The sequence below is a fragment of the Homo sapiens genome, chromosome 5 (assembly GCF_000001405.40).
Source record: "Homo sapiens chromosome 5, GRCh38.p14 Primary Assembly".
Taxonomy (NCBI): Eukaryota; Metazoa; Chordata; class Mammalia; order Primates; family Hominidae; genus Homo; species Homo sapiens.
In genome coordinates, this window is record NC_000005.10 from 121,554,316 (window position 1) to 121,576,667 (window position 22,352).

General features: G+C 34.4%; 1 pseudogene; it reads right to left on the bottom strand.

Annotated features, from left to right (window-relative positions):
• Nucleotides 21,488-21,941, bottom strand: RPL23AP44 (ribosomal protein L23a pseudogene 44; annotated as a pseudogene).

The window sequence follows — 22,352 nt, forward strand, 5'->3', positions numbered from 1 at the left end:
ACAGAAGCAAGGAAATAATAAAAAATAATAGCGGAAATGAATGACATTAAAACCAGCAAAACTCGTTTTTAGAGAAAACCTAATGAAACAAATATCATGTTTTTTTAAAGATCAATACAATTTACAAACTCTAGTAAGACTGACAAAAAAAGAGAAAAGATGCAAACTACAAATACCTGGAATTATAGGCTGCCAATACAGACCCTACAGGCATCAAAAGAATAAGGGACTACTATGAACAACTCTGCACGCATAAATTTGGCAGCTTAGAAACAATGAACAAATTCCTCAAAAAATACAAACTACAAGACATCCAATATGAAATAGATAAAATTAGTATCTCTATTAAGAAAATTGATTTTATGATTAAAACTTACAGAAATACATTTTCTGGCTAAAATTATGTTACTGGGAAATTCTTTTATTATTATTATTATTAAACTTTAAGTTCTAGGGTACATGTGCACAACATGCAGGTTTGTTACATATGTATACATGTGCCATGTTGGTGAGCTACACCCAGTAACTCGTCATTTACATTAGGTATATCTCCTAATGCTATCCCTCACCCCTCCCCCAACCCCACAACAGTCCCCGGTGTGTGATGTTCCCCTTCCTGTGTCCATGTGTTCTCATTATTCAATTCCCACCTATGAGTGAGAACATGCGGTGTTTGGTTTTCTGTCCTTGCGATAGTTTGCTGAGAATAATGGTTTCCAGCTTCATCCATGTCCCTACAAACGACATGAACTCATCATTTTTTATGGCTGCATAGTATTCCATGGTGTATATGTGCCACATTTTCTTAATCCAGTCTATCATTGTTGGACATTTGGGTTGGTTCCAAGTCTTTGCTATTGTGAATAGTGCCACAATAAACATACGTGTGCATGTGTCTTTATAGCAGCATGATTTATAATCCTTTGGGTATATACCCAGTAATGGGATGGCTGGGGTCAAACGGTATTTCTAGTTCTAGATCCCTGAGGAATCACCACACTGTCTTCCACAATGGTTGAACTAGTTCACAGTCCCACCAACAGTGTAAAAATGTTCCCACTTCTCCACATCCTCTCCAGCACCTGTTGTTTCCTGACTTTTTAATGATTGCCATTCTAACTTGTGTGAGATGGTATCTCATTGTGGTTTTGATTTGCATTTCTCTGATGGCCAGTGATGATGAGCATTTTTTCATGTATCTGTTGGCTGCATAAATGTCTTCTTTTGAGAAGTGTGTGTTCATATCCTTTGCCCACTTGTTGATGGGGTTGTTTTTTTCTTCTAAATTTGTTTGAGTTCTTTGTAGATTCTGGATATTAGCCCTTTGTCAGATGAATAGATTGCAAAAATTTTCTCCCATTCTGTAGGTTGCCTGTTCACTCTGATGGTTGTTTCTTTTGCTGTGCAGAAGCTCTTTAGTTTAATTAGATCCCATTTGTTGATTTTGGCTTTTCTTGCCATTGCTTTTGGTGTTTTAGACATGAAGTCCTTGCCCATGCCTATGTCCTGAATGGTATTGCCTAGGTTTTCTTCTAGGGTTTTTATGGTTTTAGGTCTAACATTTAAGTCTTTAATCCATCTTGAATTAATTTTTGTATAAGGTGTAAGGAAGGGGTCCAGTTTCAGCTTTCCACATATGGCTAGCCAGTTTTCCCAAAACCATTTATTAAATAGGGAATCCTTTCCCAATTTCTTGTTTTTGTCAGGTTTGTCAAAGATCAGATGGTTGTAGATGTGTGGAATTATTTCTGAGGGCTCTGTTCTGCTCCATTGGTCTATATCTCTGTTTTGGTACCAGTGCCATGCTGTTTTGGTTACTGTAGCCTTGTAGTATAGTTTGAAGTCAGGTAGCATGATGCCTCTAGCTGTGTTCTTTTGGGTTAGGATTGACTTGGCAGTGCGGGCTCCTTTTTGGTTCCGTATGAACTTTAAAGTATTTTTTCCAATTCTGTGAAGAAAGTCATTGGTAGCTTGATGGGGATGGCATTGAATCTACAAATTACCTTGGGCAGTATGGCCATTTTCATATTGATTCTTCCTATCCATGAGCATGGAATGTTCTTCCATTTGTTTGTGTCCTCTTTCATTTTGTTGAGCAGTGGTTTGTAGTTATCCCTGAAGAGGTCCTTCACATCCCTTGTAAGTTAGATTCCTAGGTATTTTATTCTCTTTGAAGCAATTATGAATGGGAGTTCACTCATGATTTGACTCTCTGTTTGTCTGTTATTGGTGTATAAGAATGCTTGTGATTTTTGCACATTGATTTTGTATCCTAAGACTGCTGAAGTTGCTTATCAGCTTAAGGAGATTTGGGGCTGAGACAATGGGGTTTTCTAGATATACAATCATGTCATCTGCAAACAGGGACAATTTGACTTCCTCTTTTCCTAATGGAATACCCTTTATTTCTTTCTCCTGCCTGATTGCCCTGGCCAGAACTTCCAACACTACGTTGAATAGGAGTGGTGAGAGAGGGCATCCCTGTCTTGTGCCAGTTGTCAAAGGGAATGCTTCCAGTTTTTGCCCATTCAGTATGATATTGGCTGTGGGTTTGTCATAAATAGCTCTAATTATTTTGAGATACGTTCCATCAATACCTAGTTTATTGAGAGTTTTTAGCATGAAGGGCTGTTGAATTTTATCAAAGGCCTTTTCTGCATCTATTGAGATAATCATGTGGTTTTTGTCTTTGGTTCTGTTTATATGCTGGATTACAGCTAACGTCATAATGACAGGATCAAATTCACGCATAACAATATTAACCTTAAATGTAAATGGGCTAAATGCTCCAATTAAAAGACACAGACTGGAAAATTGGATAAAGAGTCAAGACCCATCAGTGTGCTGTGTTCAGGAAACCCATCTCACGTGCAGAGACATACATAGGCTCAAAATAAAGGGATGGAGGAAGATCTACCAAGCAAAGGGAAAATAAAAAAAGGCAGGGGTTGCAATCCTAGTTTCTGTTAAAACAGACTTTAAACCAACAAAGATCAGAAGAGACAAGGAAGGTCATTACATACTGGTAAAGGGTACAGTTCAACAAGAAGAGATAACTATCCTAAATATATATGCACCCAACACAGGAGCACCCAGATTCATAAAGCAAGTCCTTAGAGACCTACAAAGAGACTTAGACTCCCACACAATAATAATGGGAGACTTTAACACCCCACTGTCAACATTAGACAGATCAATGAGACAGAAAGTTAACAAGGATATCCAGGAATTGTACTCAGCTCTGTACCAAGCAGACCTAATAGACATCTACAGAACTCTCCACCCCAAATCAACAGAATATACATTCTTCTCAGCACCACATGGTACTTATTCCAAAATTGACCACATGTAAATTGTGGAAGTAAAGCACTCCTCAGCAAATGTAAAACAACAATAATTATAACAAACTGTCTCTCGGACCACAGTGCAATCAAATTAGAACTCAGGATTAAGATACTCACTCAAAACTGCTCAGCTACATGGAAACTGAACAACCTGCTCCTGAGTGACTACTGGGTACATAACAAAATGAAGGCAGAAATAAAGATGTTCTTTGAAACCAACAAGAACAAAGACACAACATAACAGAATCTCTGGGACACATTCAAAGCAGTGTGTAGAGGGAAATTTATAGCACTAAATGCCCACAAGAGAAAGCAGGAAAGATCTAAAATTGACACCCTAACATCACAATTAAAAGAACTAGAGAAGCAAGAGCAAATACATTCAAAAGCTAGAAGAAGGCAAGAAATAAGTAAGATCAGAGCAGAACTGAAGGAGATAGAGACACAAAAAAACCCTTCAAAAAATCAATGAATCCAGGAGCTGTTTTTTTGAAAGGATCAACAAAATTGATAGACCCCTACCAAGGCTAATAAAGAAGAAAAGAGAGAAGAATCAAATAGACGCAATAAAAAATGATAAAGGGGATATCACCACCGATCCCACAGAAATACAAACTACCATCAGAGAATACTATAAACACCTCTATGCAAATAAACTAGAAAATCTAGAAGAAATGGATAAATTCCTCGACACATACACCCTCCCAAGACTAAACCAGGAAGAAGTTGAATCTCTGAATAGACCAATAACAGGCTCTGAAATTGAGGCAATAATTAACAGCTTACCAACCAAAAAAAGTCCAGGACCAGATGGATTCACAGCCGAATTCTACCAGAGGTACAAAGAGGAGCTGGTACCATTCCTTCTGAAACTATTCCAATCAGTAGAAAAAGAGGGAGTCCTCCCTAACTCATTTTATGAGGCCAGCATCATCCTGATACCAAAGCCTGGCAGAGACACAACAAAAAAATATCATTTTAGACCAATATCCCTGATGAACATCGATGCAAAAACCTCAATAAAATACTGGCAAACCGAATCCAGCAGCACATCAAAAAGCTTATCCACCATGATCAAGTGGGCTTCATCCCTGGGATGCAAGCCTGGTTCAACATACGCAAATCAATAAACATAATCCAGCATATAAACAGAACCAAAGTAACTGGGAAATTCTACCAAATATTTAAAGAAACACTGAGACCAGAAACTGTACAATCTCTTCTACAATAAAAAAGAGGAGAGAATCTTCCCAGTATGTTGTTTGAAGGTATGTATAAACTGATAGCCAAGTAGAAAAATACAGCCTATAAAAGAAAGAAAAGTACAAACTAATATTTCCCGTGTAGATTCAAAAACCTTTAACAAAATATTAGCAAACAGATTGAGCATTATATAAAAATAATTACACATTATGACCAAATAAGTTTCATTCTGGGGATGCAAATCTGGTTCAGTGTTCAAAAATCAAACAAAGTAATTCGTTATATTAATAAGGGAAGGGAAAAAGTCCCATGATCATACCAGTCAATGCAGAAGTCTTTGAAAAAAGCCATCACTCATTTATGATAAAAACTCCACCAAAATAGGAACAGAGATCTTCCTCAAGTTGATAAAGAGCATCTACCAAAAAACCCTACAGCTAACATAGTACATACTGTTGAAGAACTGCATGCTTTCCCCTTAAGATCAGGAACAAGGCAAAGATATTCACCCTCACCAACTGTATTCACCACACTGAAGAAAATTGTAGCCAATGCAATAGAAATATATGGTATAGGGATGAAAAATGAAGATATAAAACAGTCCTTTTGTGCAAGTGATATGAATGTATACTTAGAAAGTCCCATAAAATCTATCATAAGAAAAAAAAACAGCCTAGAATAAGTAAATTAACCAAAATAAAAAAACCCCATAAATCTATAATTTCATCAATGTCCTAGCAATAAACAATACCAAGTGATATAATTTTATAGTAGCTCAAAATAATGTAATACATAGGTAAATCTAATATAATAGACAGGATTTTTATACTGAAAACTGTATGATTGTGATAAAAAATTTTGAGTATCTCAATAAATGAAGAAACATAACATGCTCATGGATTGTAAAACTCAACATAGTAAAGATGTAAGTTTTCTTCAAATTTACATATAGATTTAATGCAACTGTTATTAGAATCTTGAGACTATTGGAGATATAGACAAGATTATTCTAAAATTAAATGAAAAGGCAAAGAACTGGAAGAGCAAAAACAATTTTGAGAGATAACAAAGTGGAAGGAATCAGTCCACTAATCAGTCTTTCTTTCTTCTTTCTCTCTCTCTCTCTCTTCTTTTTTTCTTCCTTCCTTCCTACCACAAATTGCACTGCTAAGCATTTATTCCAGAAAACAAATTAAAAAATTATGTTCACAAAAACCTATACACAAATGTTTATAGCAGTTTTATTTGTAATAGCCAAAAACTGGAAACAACTAGATGTTTTTCAACAGCTGAACTGCTAAAGAAACTATGGTATAACTACAAAATGGAATGCTATTCAATAATTTCATAGAATGATCTGTTGATACACGAAACAACGTGAGTGAATCTCCAGAGAATTATTCTGAGTGATGAAAGAAACGCGTGGAACAGAAGTGAGATGGATGCATCTATAAAAGGGCAATAGAAGAAGTCTTTATGCTAGCGAAAACATTCTACATGCTAACTATATTAATGACAATAGTCTGGTTGTGATGTCAGACTATAGTTTTTGCAATATATTGCCATTAGGAAAAAATTGGGTAAAGGAAATACAATTTGTCTCTATTATTTCTTAAAACTGCAGATGAATATACAATTATTTCAAAATAAAATTTTTAAATAAAAAAGATAAATCCATATTTAAATGTAAATACAATATGTTATACTCAGAATAAATTGAGGGTGATATTATAGAGAAAAAACTATAACCAGATATTTTACTATATCAGATAAATGTTGAAGTAACATGCCAAACAAATTATCGGCTTTAAGTGTTGCATAGAAGATTTAATCCTTTTCCTCTTTGCAGGAGCTCCATATTATCATGAGTTTCATTAGAATGCCATGTGCCGTTAGAGATTTGAACCTTTTCAGTGTAAGTTGCTAGAAGCTCAACATTGGGAATATATTATGCTCCTATGTCTAATCTCCTTGTTACTAGATACATTTAGTTAAAATAACCTAACAATCCATTTAATAACTAATTTGATTATTCATTATATTAAATGATAAAGAAAACATTAACAGCAAACATTCTTCATGCACCATTTTAATTTTATATGAAACACAATTTGCTTATTCTTGCTAATTTAAAAATTTTAATTTTCTTTTCAAAAATAACAAAGATGAAGAGTTTCAAGTGCTCATCCCACCATCGAAACATCAATTTCAACAACTATTTATATACAAAACACCTTCACAGAGCTAAAGAAACCCAGTGAGAGATTCAAGAACCTGGGTATAGCACAAAAAGAAGAAAAAAAATGCATTAATGAGCATAGGAAAGATAGTTTTATATTACCTTCTTTTCCCTTTGCTCAACCCCAGGCAGCACAACCTGGAGAGAGATATCTTTGCTTAGGAGAAGGAGAAGGAAGTGAGCACTGTACTTTGCCTTGGACCCCAGAGAAAGTCCACCCCAGTTAAATCCAGTCTTACACAGGATTTAATGGACCCCATGGACCCAGACTCCACACTGGTACTTACAACTGAGCCTCCATGCTCACTCCATTGCCAGACTTGATTCTACAACCCCAGGTTCTAGGCCCACAAGTCGTGGCAGACTTAATCTCTAGGCCACCCAACAGCCAGACTGACCCCGGTGGCTTCAGGTTCCAGACAAGACCCAGCACAGACCTCCACACCCTGTAGTCCTAGTCCTCAGGCTGACACCTGAGGACTTAGCCAACAGTTTGGGCCCTGTGGATACAGACTCCAGGGTGTGCAGCCCCAAGCTCCAGACTAGTGTCCAAATACTGAGCCTTCAAGCCCACCTTGGTGCCAGGCATAATTTCATACCCTCAGGATCTAGTGTGCACAATGGAATCCTAAGGACTCAGGATCCAGGCCTTTCCCAGTGGTCTTAGGTACCAGGCCTACCCCCATGGACTTAGGCACCAGGCCTATCCCTTTGAACCCAGGCTCTATCTGAGCCACCCAACATCTGACCAGCCCATGTAGACTTAGGCTCAAGGCCACCCCACTGCCAAGTCAACCCCTGTGAACCCAGGATTTATGACAGCACCTACAAGACAGGCTCCAAGCTTACCCTAATAGATACAGGCTAAAGGCCCATTCCTTCAGACCTAATGAATAGGTTCACCCCAGAGGATCCAGGCTTCGGGCTCAGCCCTGCAAACCCAGGTGCCAGGCCAACCCGCCCAAGGAATCCAGCAAACTATAACTCCCTCAAACTACACTAGATGGCATACTGAGAATTTTTATATGGGCTGACTGATCCTGGACTTTCCGAGGCAAAGCCAGGCTGCAAAGACTGGAATAAGTCCCTACTTTTTCAAAGCGGCAGACATCAATGTAAGGCAACAAGAAACATAAAAATCCTAGGAGACATAATAGTCTTAGTCCATTAGTGCTACTATAACAGAATAACTGACTGAGTAGTTTAGAATGAACAGGAATTTATTGGTTCAAAGTTCTGGAGGCTTAGAAGTTCAACATTAAGATGTTGGCAGCTTCAGTGATTCTGATTTCGAGATGGTACCTTGAATATCACATTTTCCCTCAGGGTGGAATTCTTTGTCTTCACATGGTGGAGGACAGAAGAGTAAAGATGAAAAAAAAAAAAAAAAGCCAAATTTGTCCTTTATAACAACACTGATCCCACCAATAAGAGCAGAGCCCTAATGGCCTTTTTACCTCCTAAATTCTCAGTTTCTAACACCACCACGACAGTGACCAAATTTTAACATGAGTTTTGGAGGGGACAAATATTCAAACCAGAGCAAACACCAAAACACTACAATAATCTCCCAATAGGCAGCCACACCCCACCCCCCAAAAATGAAGATATATAAATAGGCTGACAAAAAAAATTCAAAATAATTGTTTTAAAGAAGATAACAAACTTCAAGAAAATAAAAAGAAAGGATTCAATAATATTAGAAAAATAGTAAATGAAAAAATAAAAAACCAAAGATGGTAATTAAAACAAAATGAAACCATGGAGATGAAAAAAATATGATGATTCAAGTAAAAAATGCAATAGAGATTATCAAGAGCAGAATTATCAAGCAGAAGAAAAACTCTCTGAACTCAAAACTAGGTTATTTTAAAATATACAGTTAGAGAAAAAATGAAAGAATGCAAAGGAATGAAGAAAGCTTATGGGACAGAACTATAGGGCAAATTTTTTGAGTTATAAGAGTTAATGACAGAAAATAGAAGATCAAAGGGGAGGAAAGATTATTTAAATGAATAATTTAAATATTGTGGGAAAGATAAATAATCAAGTACAGAATAGTAAAAGGTCTCCAATTAGATTCAATGCAAATAAGAATACAGCAAGGCATATTATAATCAAAATATCAAAAGTCAAAAAACAATGAGAAAATCATGAAAGCTGCAATAGAAAAGAAGAAAAATGATATATAAGGGAGTTCTAATAAGGCGAACACCTTATATCTCAGCAGACACATCACAGCCAGGAAAGAATGGGATGATATATTCAAAATGCTGAAGAAAAAAAACAAAAAAAAACTTCCAACCAAGAAAACTAAACTCAATAAATCTGTTCTTCATAAATGAAGGAAAGATAAACTTTCCCAGATGAACGAACGTTAAGAATGTTCATCACCATTAAACATATCTTACAAGAAATGCTAAAGAAAATGCTACAAACTGAAATCAAAGAATTCTAATTAGTAACACAAAATAATACGAAAGTATAAAGTTCACTGTTATAAGTAAATATATCATCAAATTCAGAATACTCTGAAACTGTAATAGTGATGCATATATCACTTATATCTTAAGTATGAAGGTTAGAAGATAAAACTATAAAAAATAATAGCAAAAAATCCGTTCAGGGAAATACCATATAAAAATATGTAAATTGTGACATTAAAAATGTAAAGTTTTTGGAAGGAGTAAAACTATTTTGTAGGCAAATTTGTTAATTTGTTTAAGGTAGGCTGTAAGATTTTTTTGTAAGCCTTATGTTGACCACAAAGCAAAAGCCAATGGTAGAGACAAAAAGATAAACAGCAAGAAATAAAAGTATATTACCAGAAAAAATCACTTAATTACAAAAAAAGACAGCAAGGAATAAAGGATTTACAAATAAAGCAACAAAATGGTAGTAGTAAGTTCTTACTTAACAATATTTACCTTAACTATAAATGGATTAAATACATCAATCAAAAGACATAGAGTGACTCAATAGATTAAAAAAAGAATCAACTACAAAAGACTCACTTCACCCATAAAGATGCATATACCCTGAAAGTGAGGAAGTACTAAAAGATTATTTCATACAATTGGACAACAAAAGGAAGGAAGAGTAGCTATACTTGTATCAGATAAAATAGACTTTATGTCAAAAACTGTAAGCAGAATAAAATAGATCATTGACATGGTTTGACTCTGTGTCCCTACCCAAATCTCATCTCAAATTATAATCCACATGTGTCAAGGGAAGTAAGTTATTGAATCACGGGGGCAGTTTCCCCTACTCTGTTCTCCTGATAGTGAGTGAATGCTCATCAGATCTGATGGTTTTATAAACGGTAGTTTTTCCTGAACTATTGCTTTCTGTCTTTCCTGCCACCTTGTGAAGAAGGTGCCTGCTTCCCCTTTTCCTTCAGCCATGATTGTAAGTTTCCTGAGGCCTCCCTAGCTTTATGAAACTGTGAGTCAATTAAACCTCTTTCCTTTATATATTACCCAGTCTTGGGTAGTATCTTTATACCAGTGCAAGAACAGACTAATACAATTATTATTTTATAATGAAGGAGTTAATTCAACAAGAAAATATAATGATTATAAATATATTTGTACTAAACATTGAGTAACCTAAATAAATACAGGAAATATTAATAAACCTGAAGAGAGAGAGAGATTGCAAAACAATAATAGTAGCATACATGGAACATTCTCTAGGATAGATTAAAAACCCTGGATGCAAGAGGAGAGGGAGATGAGCACTGTATTTTGCCTTGGACCTCAAAACTAAGCCTGCCCCAGTAAAACTCAGCATTGAAGTCTCTTGTAGCCCCAGATTAAAATCTGGTATGCACAAATAGATCATCCAGGCTTTTTCTAATGCCAGAGTAGATGCCACAACATTAGGCTGCACTCCAGCATGGGCAACAAAAGTGAAACTCCATCTCAAAATAAAAAAAGGGCGGGAAGAGAGAAAATAATAAAGATCTAAATGAAAATACATAAAATAGAGACTAGAAAAGTAAGAGAAAACATTAATAAAATTAAGAGTTGGCTTTTTGAAAGTATACACAGTATCAGCAGACATTTAGCTGGACCAAGAAAAATACAGAAGATTCAAATAAATAAAATTAGAAATATAAGAGGAGACATTACAACTAACAGCATGGAAGTACAAAGGATTACAGGAGAGCACTATGGAGAATTATACACTCCTCAAAATGTATAACCAGAGGAAATGTATTCATTTCTAGACCATACAACCTACTAAGACTGAATCATGAAGAAATAGAAATTCTAAACAGACAAGTAACAAGTTAGGAGATTGAATCAATAATAAAATATCTCCCATCAAAGAAAAGCCCAGAACCTGATGGCTTCACTGATGAATTCTACCAAACATTTGAAGAACTAAACCAAGCTAACTCAAACTGTTTCAAAAAATTGAAGAGAAAGAAGTACTTCCAAATTCATTTCACTAAGTATCATTATCCTAATATTAAAGCCAGACAAGAATACTATAATAAAAGTTACAAGGCTATATGCTTGATAAACACATGTATAAAAATCCTCAGCAAAAACATAGCAAGCAAAATTCAATACCACATTAAAAGGATTGTTGACAATTCACCATCACCAAGTAAGATTTATCCCAGGAATACAAGAATGGTTCAACAAAGCCAAATCTATAAATGCAATATAGCACATTAACAGAATGATGTACAGAAATTACATAATCATCTCAATAAGGCAGGAAAAGCATTTGACATAATTCAACATCCTTTCATAATAAGACTCTCAACAAATTGGTATAGAAGAAATGTACTTCAACACAATAAAAGGGCATATATAACAAACATACAGCTAGTATCATATTCTAAGGTGAAATTTGAAAGCTTTTCCTCTAACATCAGGAATACAAGGATACTCACTTTCGCTGCTTCTATTCAACATAGTACTGAATGTCCTAGCTAGAGCAATTACACAAAAGAGAGAGAGGCAAGAGACATTAGAAATGGAAAGAAAAAAACTACATTTTTCCTATTTTGAGATAATATAATCTTTTATGTAGAAAACCCTAAAGATGCCACACTAAAAAAAATCTCTAAGAACTGATAAATTCAGTACACAAAAAATAAAAAAAAATAGAAAATAAACAAAAAACAGCACAAAACATTGCAGCATTTCTACACACTAACACGAAACTATCCAAAAAATAAATCAAGAAAACAATTCCATTTATAACAGCTACCAAAAAATACATAGGAATAAATTTAACCAAGCAGGTGAAAGCCTTGTACACTCCAAATTATAAAACAATAATGAAAGAAAATGAAGAAAACTCAAGTATATAGTAGGAAATCCCATGTTTACAAATAGGAAGAATTAATATTGTTAAAATGTCCCTACTTCCCAAAAGAATTTGAAGATTCAATGCAATTCCATCACAATTTCAATGACATTCTTCACAGAAACAGAAAAAAATCTAGAATGTGTATGAAACCACAAAATACTGAATAGACAAAGCAATCTTGAGCAAAAAGAACCAAGCTGGAGGTATCACACTACCTACTTTACAAAGCTATACTAACCAAAACATCATGGAACTGGCACAAAAACAGACACATAGGCCAATGCAACAGAATAGAGATGCCAGAAATAAATCCACATGTGTGGTCAATTCATTTTTACAAAGTTGCTAATAACACACAATTGGGAAAGAAAGCCCTCTTCAATAAATGGACACATGGATTATCTACATGCAGAAGGATGAAATTAGGCCAACATCTCACACCATATAAAAAAATCAACTCAAAATATAGTAAAGACTTAAATATAATTCTTCAACTGTAAAACTAGTAGGAAAAAATAGGAGAAAAGCTCCTACACACTGGTTTCAGCAATGATTTTTGAGATATGAACCCAAAAGCACAGGCAACAAAAGCAAAATTAGACAAATAGGATTACATCAAATCAAACTGCTTCTTCTCTGCTAAGGAAACAATCAACAGAGTAAAGAGACAACCTACATAGTAGGAGAAAGTATTTGCAAATATACATCTGATAAAGTACTAATATTCTAAATATATAAAGAATCTAAACAATTCAATAGTAAGAAACCAAATGACACAATTAAAAAAAATGAACATAAGATCTAAATAGGCATTTCTCAAAAATATATACATACAGATGGCCAATGAGTATATGAAAAAATGTTCAACATCACTAATTATCACAGAAAAGTAAATTAAAACCACAATGAGATATCACCTAAAACCTGTTAGAACACATATTAACAAAAAGGTGAAAGACACTCGTTGATAAGGATGTGGAGAAGAGGGTACCTTTGCACATTATTTGTGAGAATATAAATTAGTGCAACCATCAAAGAAAACAGTATAGAAGTTCATCAAAAATTAAAAATAGAAGTACCAGATCATCCAACAATTCTGATTCTGAATATATATCTAAAGAAAATGAAATCACTATGCAGAAGGAATGTCTTCACTTCCATGCTCATTGCAGTATTAGTCACACTGGCCCTGATATGGATTCAACCTAAGTGTTCATCAACAGATAATGGATTTTAAAATGTGGCATATATACACGATGGAATACTATTCAGCCTTAAAAAGAAAGAAATCCTGTCATTTGTAACAACATAAATTAACCTTAAGGATATTATATTAAACAAAACAAGCCAGGGACAAAAAGACAAATACTGTGTGATCCCACTTATATGTTGAATCTAAAAAAGCTGAATTCATACTAGTAGGGAGTAGAGTGGCGGTTACCAGGGACTGTGGTGTGGGGTAAATGTGGGGAGACATTAATCAAAAGATACAAAATTTCACTTATATGGGAGGTGTAAATTCAAAAGATCTATGGTACAAAATGATTATTATAGTTAATATCAATGAATTTTATTTTTGAAAATTGGAAAAAGGGTAGTTTTTAAGTATTTGCATCACAAAAAAATCAGTGTTAGGTAATATATATGTTAATTAGCTCGTTAGCGATTTTATAATGTACACATATTTTAAAACCACATGTGCATGATAAATATATACAATTTGTATTTGTCAATTTAAACATTTAAAAAATCAATTAAATGTGAAAAAAGGCAAATGGATTCCTAAGGAATAATTTTTAACTACACTGCAGCTGTAGAAAAGTATAATTGAATATGATCTTTTTAAGTCAAGTAATTATTAGACCAAAATTTCTTACTAAAATGACAGCTTGGTAATATAACAGATTTTCAAGGCATTAAAGCCTCAGAGCTCATTAATATGTTACCTAGAAGTAAGCTACTGTAAATTTATAAATAACCTGCTACACAGAGGAATTAACAAAAAGCTTCAAAATCACTGTTTAATTTTAAATTTGCTAACAGTTTATCAGCTGAGATGATTAAATGGCAAATTATAACTTAAACTCTATTATACTGATGTAATGTAATTAGTGGTGTCATAAGGCACACCTACAAGCTTCAGAAGTATTGAAATTTACTCACAAGGCTGACACTTAATGCCTTTGGAAATATTAAAATTCCTCTCAGTACTCTTAATACATCTTTTTTAATATAGTAAAAAATGTGCTTTCTAAATTGAAAGTACCCTGGTTTGAGAGAAGTTTAGCTATTACAATCATTCTTCCAGGATTTTCTTTTAGAAATCCAATTTAAATGAATGTTTCAGATGACTAATTTCTTAAGCTTGTTATCTCCAATATTTGAACTAATTGGCAGTTATTAACCATATAACACATAACATTTTCCCACCTAACATCACTAACAAAATATTATTGAAATATGGCCCAGTATGTCACTTGCACCTGTAATCCCAACACTTTGGGAGGCTGAAGCAGGCAGATCACCTGAGGTCAGGACTTCGAGGCCAGGCTGGCCAACATGGTGAAACTCCATCTCTATTAAAAAAAAAAAAATACAAAAATTAGCCGGGCATGATGGTGCACAGCTTTAGTCCCAAATACTAGGGAGGCTGAGGCAGGAAAATTGCTTGAACCTGGGAGGCAGAGGTTGCAATGAGCCAAGATTGTGCCACTGCACTCCAGGCTGGATAACAGAGTGAGACCCTGTCTCAAATTTAAAAATATGTATATATTGAAACAAGACAAAATTTTATTAAAATAGATTTTCTCCCTTTTTGGGGAGTGGTGGAGATTGATTTTCATATCAGAATTTCTTAGAGACCTGAAAATATAAGTTATCTATTTTCATAATGTCCTTTTTTATAGCTTTATTTCATTTTTTAAAAATGCATACATATTTACAAGGTACATGAAATATTATGTTATATGCATATAATGTGCAGTAATAAAGTCAGGGTATTCAGTGTGTCCATCACCCACGTACAAGACATTTTTAAATATAGTCATCCTACCAAACATTGTATTTATTCCTGATATGGTATGGCTGTGTCCCCACCCAGATCTCATTTTGAATTCACACGTGTTGTGGGAGGGACCCAGTGGGAGGTAAGTGAATCATGGAGGCAGGTCTTTCCTGTGCTGTTCTTGTGATAGTGAATAAGTCTCAGGAGATCCGATAAGGGGTGTTTCCCTGCCTTTTGCCATGATTGTGAGGCCTCCCCAGCCACATGGAACTGTAAGTCCATTAAACATCTCTTTCTTTTGTAAATTGCCCAGTCTCAGGTATTTCTTTATCAGCACCATGAGAATGGACAAATACAATTCCATCTATATTACTGTATGTTTGTATGCATTAGCCTATTTCTCTTTATCCTCCCCCCACCCTTCCCAATCTATACTTTCTATTTTTCACTCTCTACCTCCATGTGTTCAAAAGTTTTAGCTCCCACATATAAATGAGAACATGCAATATTTGTCTTTTTGTGACTGGTTTATTTCACTTAAAAGAATGGCCTCCAGTTCCATCCATGTTGCTGCAAAGGACATGATTCCACTTTTGTATGGCTGAATAGTATTCTATCGTGTGTATATACCACATTTTCTTTATCCATTAATCTGTTGATGGATGCTTAAGTTGATTCCATAGCTTTTCTAATGTGAATAGTGCCATAATAAATGTGTGAGGTGAGTGCAAGTATCTCTTTGATATATTAATTTATTTTTCTTTCAGTAGATACTCAGTAGTGAGATTGCTGGATGGAATGGTAATTCTATTTTCAGATTTTTGGAAATGCTGTTTTCTCTATTCTTAAAAATCTTTCCCAATCCCTAAATCACCCTTAAATCTTCTATGATTGCGCCTCTTAGTCTCCATGTACCTTCATAAATGTTGTTAGATGCCCTTCCAATGTGCTTGTATAGAACTATGCATTTACATGTGTCATTGCACATTTTATTACTTCTTCCTCTCACGATGATGTAAATTCTTTGAGAACTAAAACTGTACCTTATTTACTGTTACATACCAAAGATCTCACATACTTCCCATAAATATTGTGTGCAACATTTGTGCTGTGGAATTAATAAATATTTGTATGTAGTCTATTGAACTTCAAAGTATTTTGCCTACTTCCAGCATTCTTGTATTTGATAAATAGGTGATGGTTATACAAATATTTTATACACTTACAGACTTTTACAGTTTTTCTTAGTCTTTGAATTTTCAAGTGCTTTTCATTTTTTCTTTTTCATCATATGGTATGATGGTTTAACTTATTACTTTAGGGTTTTTTGCAAAATCCATTATGTTTTCCCATAAATAATTCTCCAGAAATGCATACAGAATTCCAACTATGTTTTTATTGCTTTCATTATTATATTAGTCCAGTTTCATGCTGCTGATGAAGACATACCCAAGCCTGGGTAATTTATAAAGAGAAAGATTCAATGGACTCACAGTTCCATGTGGCTGGGCAGGCCTCACGATCATGGCAGAAGGCAAAGGGCACATCGTACATGGAGGCAGACGAGAGAATGAGAGCCAAGTGAAAGAGGTTTCCCCTTATGAAACCATCAGATCTCATGAAACTTATTCACTACCACGAGAACAGCATGGGGGAAACTGCCGCCGTGATTCAACTATCTCCCACCAGGTTCCTCCCACAACACGTGGGAATTATGGGAGCTACAATTAACGATAAGATTTGTGGAAGACACACACAGCCAAACCATATCAATTACACAAAGTGCATCAACTCACCAAATGAGAAAATTAATCTGAAGCCCCACCAAATAAGAGTTACCAAATAAGAGTTAAGAAGAACAACATTAACAGATAATGTTAGTCTAATATAGTAATTTTCCAGATTTCTAAATTGTCAATTAATCAAGTATTATTTGACTCATGCTTTTGCTTGATAGATTCTTTCAGTAACCATGTATAGTTCAATAGTCATGTTCAATTAAGGTAGCAATGGGAAAAATATTCTTGAGATTAGCTTACATTTTAAAGATCTTCTTGATTTGTTTCCATTATTCTTCACTATACTATTTGGCACATTTTAAGTCATTCTTCTTTGTGTATGCCTCTGATTAGTGTTTGAAAGTAGTTATCTTATTCCTCATTTCATCCTTTGACAGTGTACATATTGAACACTTTTTATCTTGCCACATAAATAATTTCTCAAGGTTCTTTAATCATTTCACTCAAAATATTCACTCAACTTTCCCCAGTCTGCTCATAAATTTTTGATTACACAGTGTTCAAATTTAAATGCAAAAATGAAAACATGGTCCTACAGGAGTACTGCAGACTACAATTTCTTGCTATGATTATGTTCAATGGGATAGGAGCATCTTCAATTACTCCCAATATAGGAAGACTTCAGAGAGGCAATTTAAAGGCAAAAATTCAAACAAATAGTCTATAACTGCTCTTTTATTGGTACAAAAACTCATTTTTATATCTTATCTAGCTAACTATGGTTTTAATTTTTTCTAATATCTTGTTTTGCAATAACAAAGTGAACTTAGTTTATTGGAATCTACTGCTGATTTCTAACTTTTCTAACTTCATTAATAGAAAAAATTAATGTCACTGTATTTCAAATTAATATATACTTTATATTATTCAAAGAAATTATGTCATTGTAGATGATAATTCTCAAATTATCTGTTTTTTTTTTTAACAATTTTCTTCTCTTTTCTATTCCTTTGAAGACTGGTTTGCATGGATGAATAATGAGATGCCTGTGGTTTCTGACTTCTGATTAGTTTGGCCAAAGGAGAACACAGGAAGGAGTTCAAATAAAATAAGGTCAGGGTATTCATTCTCTTGATTCCTTTCCTATAGAGTTAATACTAAAAAGCAGTGTCTCTTGACGGAAAGTCACTGCTATTACTACAAGAAGTCTCCATAGAGAGATAAACTTCCAAAATGGTGGAGTGAGGATCTCAGTGAACTTGTTCTCCCTCTAAAACCATTAAAATGTGGGCAAATCAACTAAAATCAACCATTTTAGTACTCTGACAATTAACACAACTACATAAAGGTAGGAAAATAATCTATCTGAAAGATACTACTGAACCTTGGTAAAAGAGCAGGTTCTGTGATGTTTCCCCATTCCCCTTCCTTTTCCAGTTCAGTGGTACAGTAGACAAAAGCCAGCAGTACAGCAAAAGAGAAAGACAGACAGAGAGAGAAACAGATTGAGAGAGAAAGATCCCTAAACACTCTTAGACCTCTGTTAAAAGCACCATCCCCAGAGGGCTATCAACATTTTGTCTACATTTGAAGTTCACTGGAAAATATATATTCTTAGAGTACAGTAGCTATTTGATTTGATTTAGAACTCCTCTCAAAAGAGGGAGGAGAGTCTAACACTAGGATATTACCCATAAAATAGCAAACTACTGGTCATATCTCACTTACATAAAGTTGTGATTTTAGTTGGGCCATATGAGAGCCTGCACACATCTTTAAAAGGAAATCCTGGGGAAGTAGATGACCATAGGATACTTTGAAAAGTGTCCAGTTATTCCTAGGAATCTAAAAGATTGTATGCTTGTGCAAGCCAGTGCACATGCCGGAGAAGACCTGAGACAGAAGACGGCACCAGTGGATCACCGTTGATTGACCCTGAAGCTTTGCAGAAGAAAGTGCAAGCTAAGTTTGTCTTGTAAACTGTCTAAAGTTTGAAGGCATGCCTTATCACTCAGGTCATCTTTTCACAGAGTGAAATATACAAAGACAATGAAATAAAAAAATCTCCCAAGCAATCATCAGCTCACATTAAATTACACTGAATAAAGCATGACACCTAAGAAGTCAAGATTAAAATTAAAAATAATAATAATAATAATAAAGCCAACAGAGAACTCAGGGGTAACACACTGGAAAGAATACAGAAACTACAAATTTGTTTCAAGAATTATGCTAAATAATGAGTAAAAAATTAAAAAAATATATCCCAGCAACAAATAACACAAATGAAAACAAAAAGTGTAATACAGACCTTGATGGGGGTGGGGCACGATGTGGAAGAATGTGATCCCCACTTGTTACAATACAGTATATAAAATGTCCAGTTTTCAACAAAAAAATGAAGTCCAATGGGACAACAAAGTATGAGTCAGGGGCTTAGATCTTTGGTTCATTAATGGTCCCATCACCCACTGCCACTCCGCATCCCTGCGATGGTTCTCAGCTGCCTTCTCCTCTAGTCCTACTCAGTGTTCCTGTAAGGATCTACATTTACTGTCCACACTGTGGTGTAACATCATATAGTAAAATAATAACACTCTTAAAGATCAACAGAGATCATGGCAGAAAGGAAAAAGGGTTCTTTTTCTAGCTTTTGAAAGAGAGACCCTACATTTGAATTTTGTACTGAGCCTTTTAAATTATGTAGTTGGCCCTGCTCCAAATGAATACATTTCACAATGTCAACAAATCAAGAGCCTCATGCTTCTGCAGTTGACATTAATGTACTCACACTTATGAAAGTTTGCCAATCCCTGATCTCTGTTTAATACATTCTCACAAATCTCTATAAAAGTCAGTAGTTTGTTCTTCTAGAAGTGACTGTGTCTGGTCAATATAATGTTCTCTTACTTTAGTTTGCAATAAATTCAGCTGAGTGGGATTTGGTGGTTATTGTGGTTTGTTTCAGATATTTTGTGATAGTCTCATTACTTGAGAGAACCAACATTTGGGTATATAAGGATGAGAGATCTCATTATGTTTTCCAGTGCCCTTAACGTTAAAAACAATTTGTTCAAAGAGAGGGTGGTTATTTGGAATTGATAAGAAATACTAAGAAATAGCATTGGTGCTCTATTCTCAAAAATTTTTCCCCACATATTCCAGGAAAGAGCTTCATTGCTAATTAAAAACTATGTTTTCATAATATAATCATTCTAGGTTCAGGAAAATAAGAAAGTTATCATTCATTTATAATTTATTGAAAACTTTTTCAAACCAGTGGTACCTAAGTGACTACCAAATCGTATATGCTCAAAAATATTACATTAATGAAGTTATTAAACAACACATTAATCATCATTGAATTTTTCCTCTCAACTGTGAGCTGAACCCACATTGAAAAAGTGAACAAACGCATGCAAAGACTAGGAGAAGCAAATTTTTAAATGATAAAATGCAAATAAATCATAAAGTAAAATATGTAGTAAAGACTAGTCAAATTAGTGGTATCATAAAAGTGGATGTATGCAAAAAAAGATAGGCAATGGTACTTATCAGAAATATAAGATAAAGTCAAGAAGAAATATGACTATGTCTTAAACATAATTTCTACCTTAGTTTAATTTTCTTGAGCTTGCTGCTTCAGATGACCTAAAAGTATCCAGAAATGCCTTTGACATGCATGCTATATATTGGCAATGGTTTATATACACTAATTTGGAAGGAAATAATAAAACAATAGATCAAACATTTAGATGATTTTATATAGAAAATAAACTGATGTTTACCTATTAACTGTTTATATACTATGAGGGCAAGTAAATTGGTAATGTATGTTAAAATTTGTTTTGTCCCACAATTAATATAAAAAAAGAAGTTGAGGTATTATATCCAAAATATTCTAGAATTCACTACTCTTCATTTTTATCATTAGAAAACAAATCCTCACTTTGATTTTAGATTTAAGAGCCTTTCTCTAATAAAACCTGTCAGAATGGCATTAATATTCTTGTGGTATTTTTATTGGTATATCTCATTTAACATGTCCAGTAATGAATCTTTTTTATTATAAGACATATCTATTTTTATAAATGCATTCTCTTGGTATAACAGGTTTGTAGTCACTCTTACTTTTCCTAGTAGAAGGAGTGTTTTAGTACATCATAAAAAATATATAAGTAAATGAAACTGTAGACACGAATTATAGATTCCTCTTTTGTTTTGTACCTCTTTTCTTTGCTCTACTTAGAATTTTTTATAGTTTGGTGAAATAAAAGAGAAGATTGACAAGGGGAATTGTCACATACAATAGTTACCAGGTAGGACGTGTTCACCTAGTACTGGCTATGGTCAAGTGGTGAATTGTGTGGTTGGTCTAGCATTTTATTACTTTCCTCATCGTGTTTGGATATCTAGAGGGCGGGACTTTATATCACTGCATATTAGAATAATTTTATCCTAACATGTACATGAATAGAAGTTCTATTTTTAGGAGTATATTTTAATCTACTCTTTAAAAATTCATACTTAAAAGAAATTTATAGGCTACTTCTACCTGCAAGGCTTTCAAAGGATGTTACTGTTTGGCATTTTTTCAATAGAAGATAACTATTTCTTTTTTTTCTGGTGAAATGATATATACATATATAATTAGCCAGTTGGACTCAGTTTACATGAACCCAATTTTGTTGGCAACATCCAAAGCATCGTAATCAGGAGCCAGTTGAACATATGCCTTCTCTCCCTCAGGCCTAATCAGGGTGTTGACCTTGGCTACATCGATGTCATAGAGCTTCTTCACAGCCTGTTTGATCTGGTGCTTGTTGGCTTTAACATCCACAATGAATACAAGCATGTTGTTGTCTTCTATATTCTTCATGGCAGACTCAGTGGTCAACAGAAACTTGATGACAGCATAGTAGTCAAGATTGTTTCTCCTGGCGGCACTCTTCTGAGGATATCTGGGCTACCTCCAGAGTTTCAGTGTCTTGGACCGCCGGGAGGTGGGTGACATATGGATCTTATTTTTTTTGTAACTCTTGACACCCTTCAACATTGCCTACTTGACTTTGACCTTCAAAGCCTTGCTTTGGCTCCTGCTTTAGGAGGGGTAGGAGCTTCCTTCTTCTCCTTCGATGCCATCTTGTGAAAAGGGTCTCTGAGGCCCATTACAATGGGCTTATAGCGCTCAAAGATAAATATTTCAATTGAGGTAATGTAAGTCTAATAAGTACATGGAAGAAAAGGGTGCAAAAAGAGAAAAATGATTGAAAAGTGATAGTAGAAAGATCTATGCAAAAGTAAAAATAATACAAATGTATATGAAACAAAAGTTTTGCCAGAGAAAATCAAAATAATTATTGAAATAATTGAATATTATTCATTGAATATTCAATTGAATACTGAAATAAATAATTGAAATAATTATTCATTAATTTTTCAATAATAAATGTATATTACTTAAAACAGTACCATATATCCACTAACAG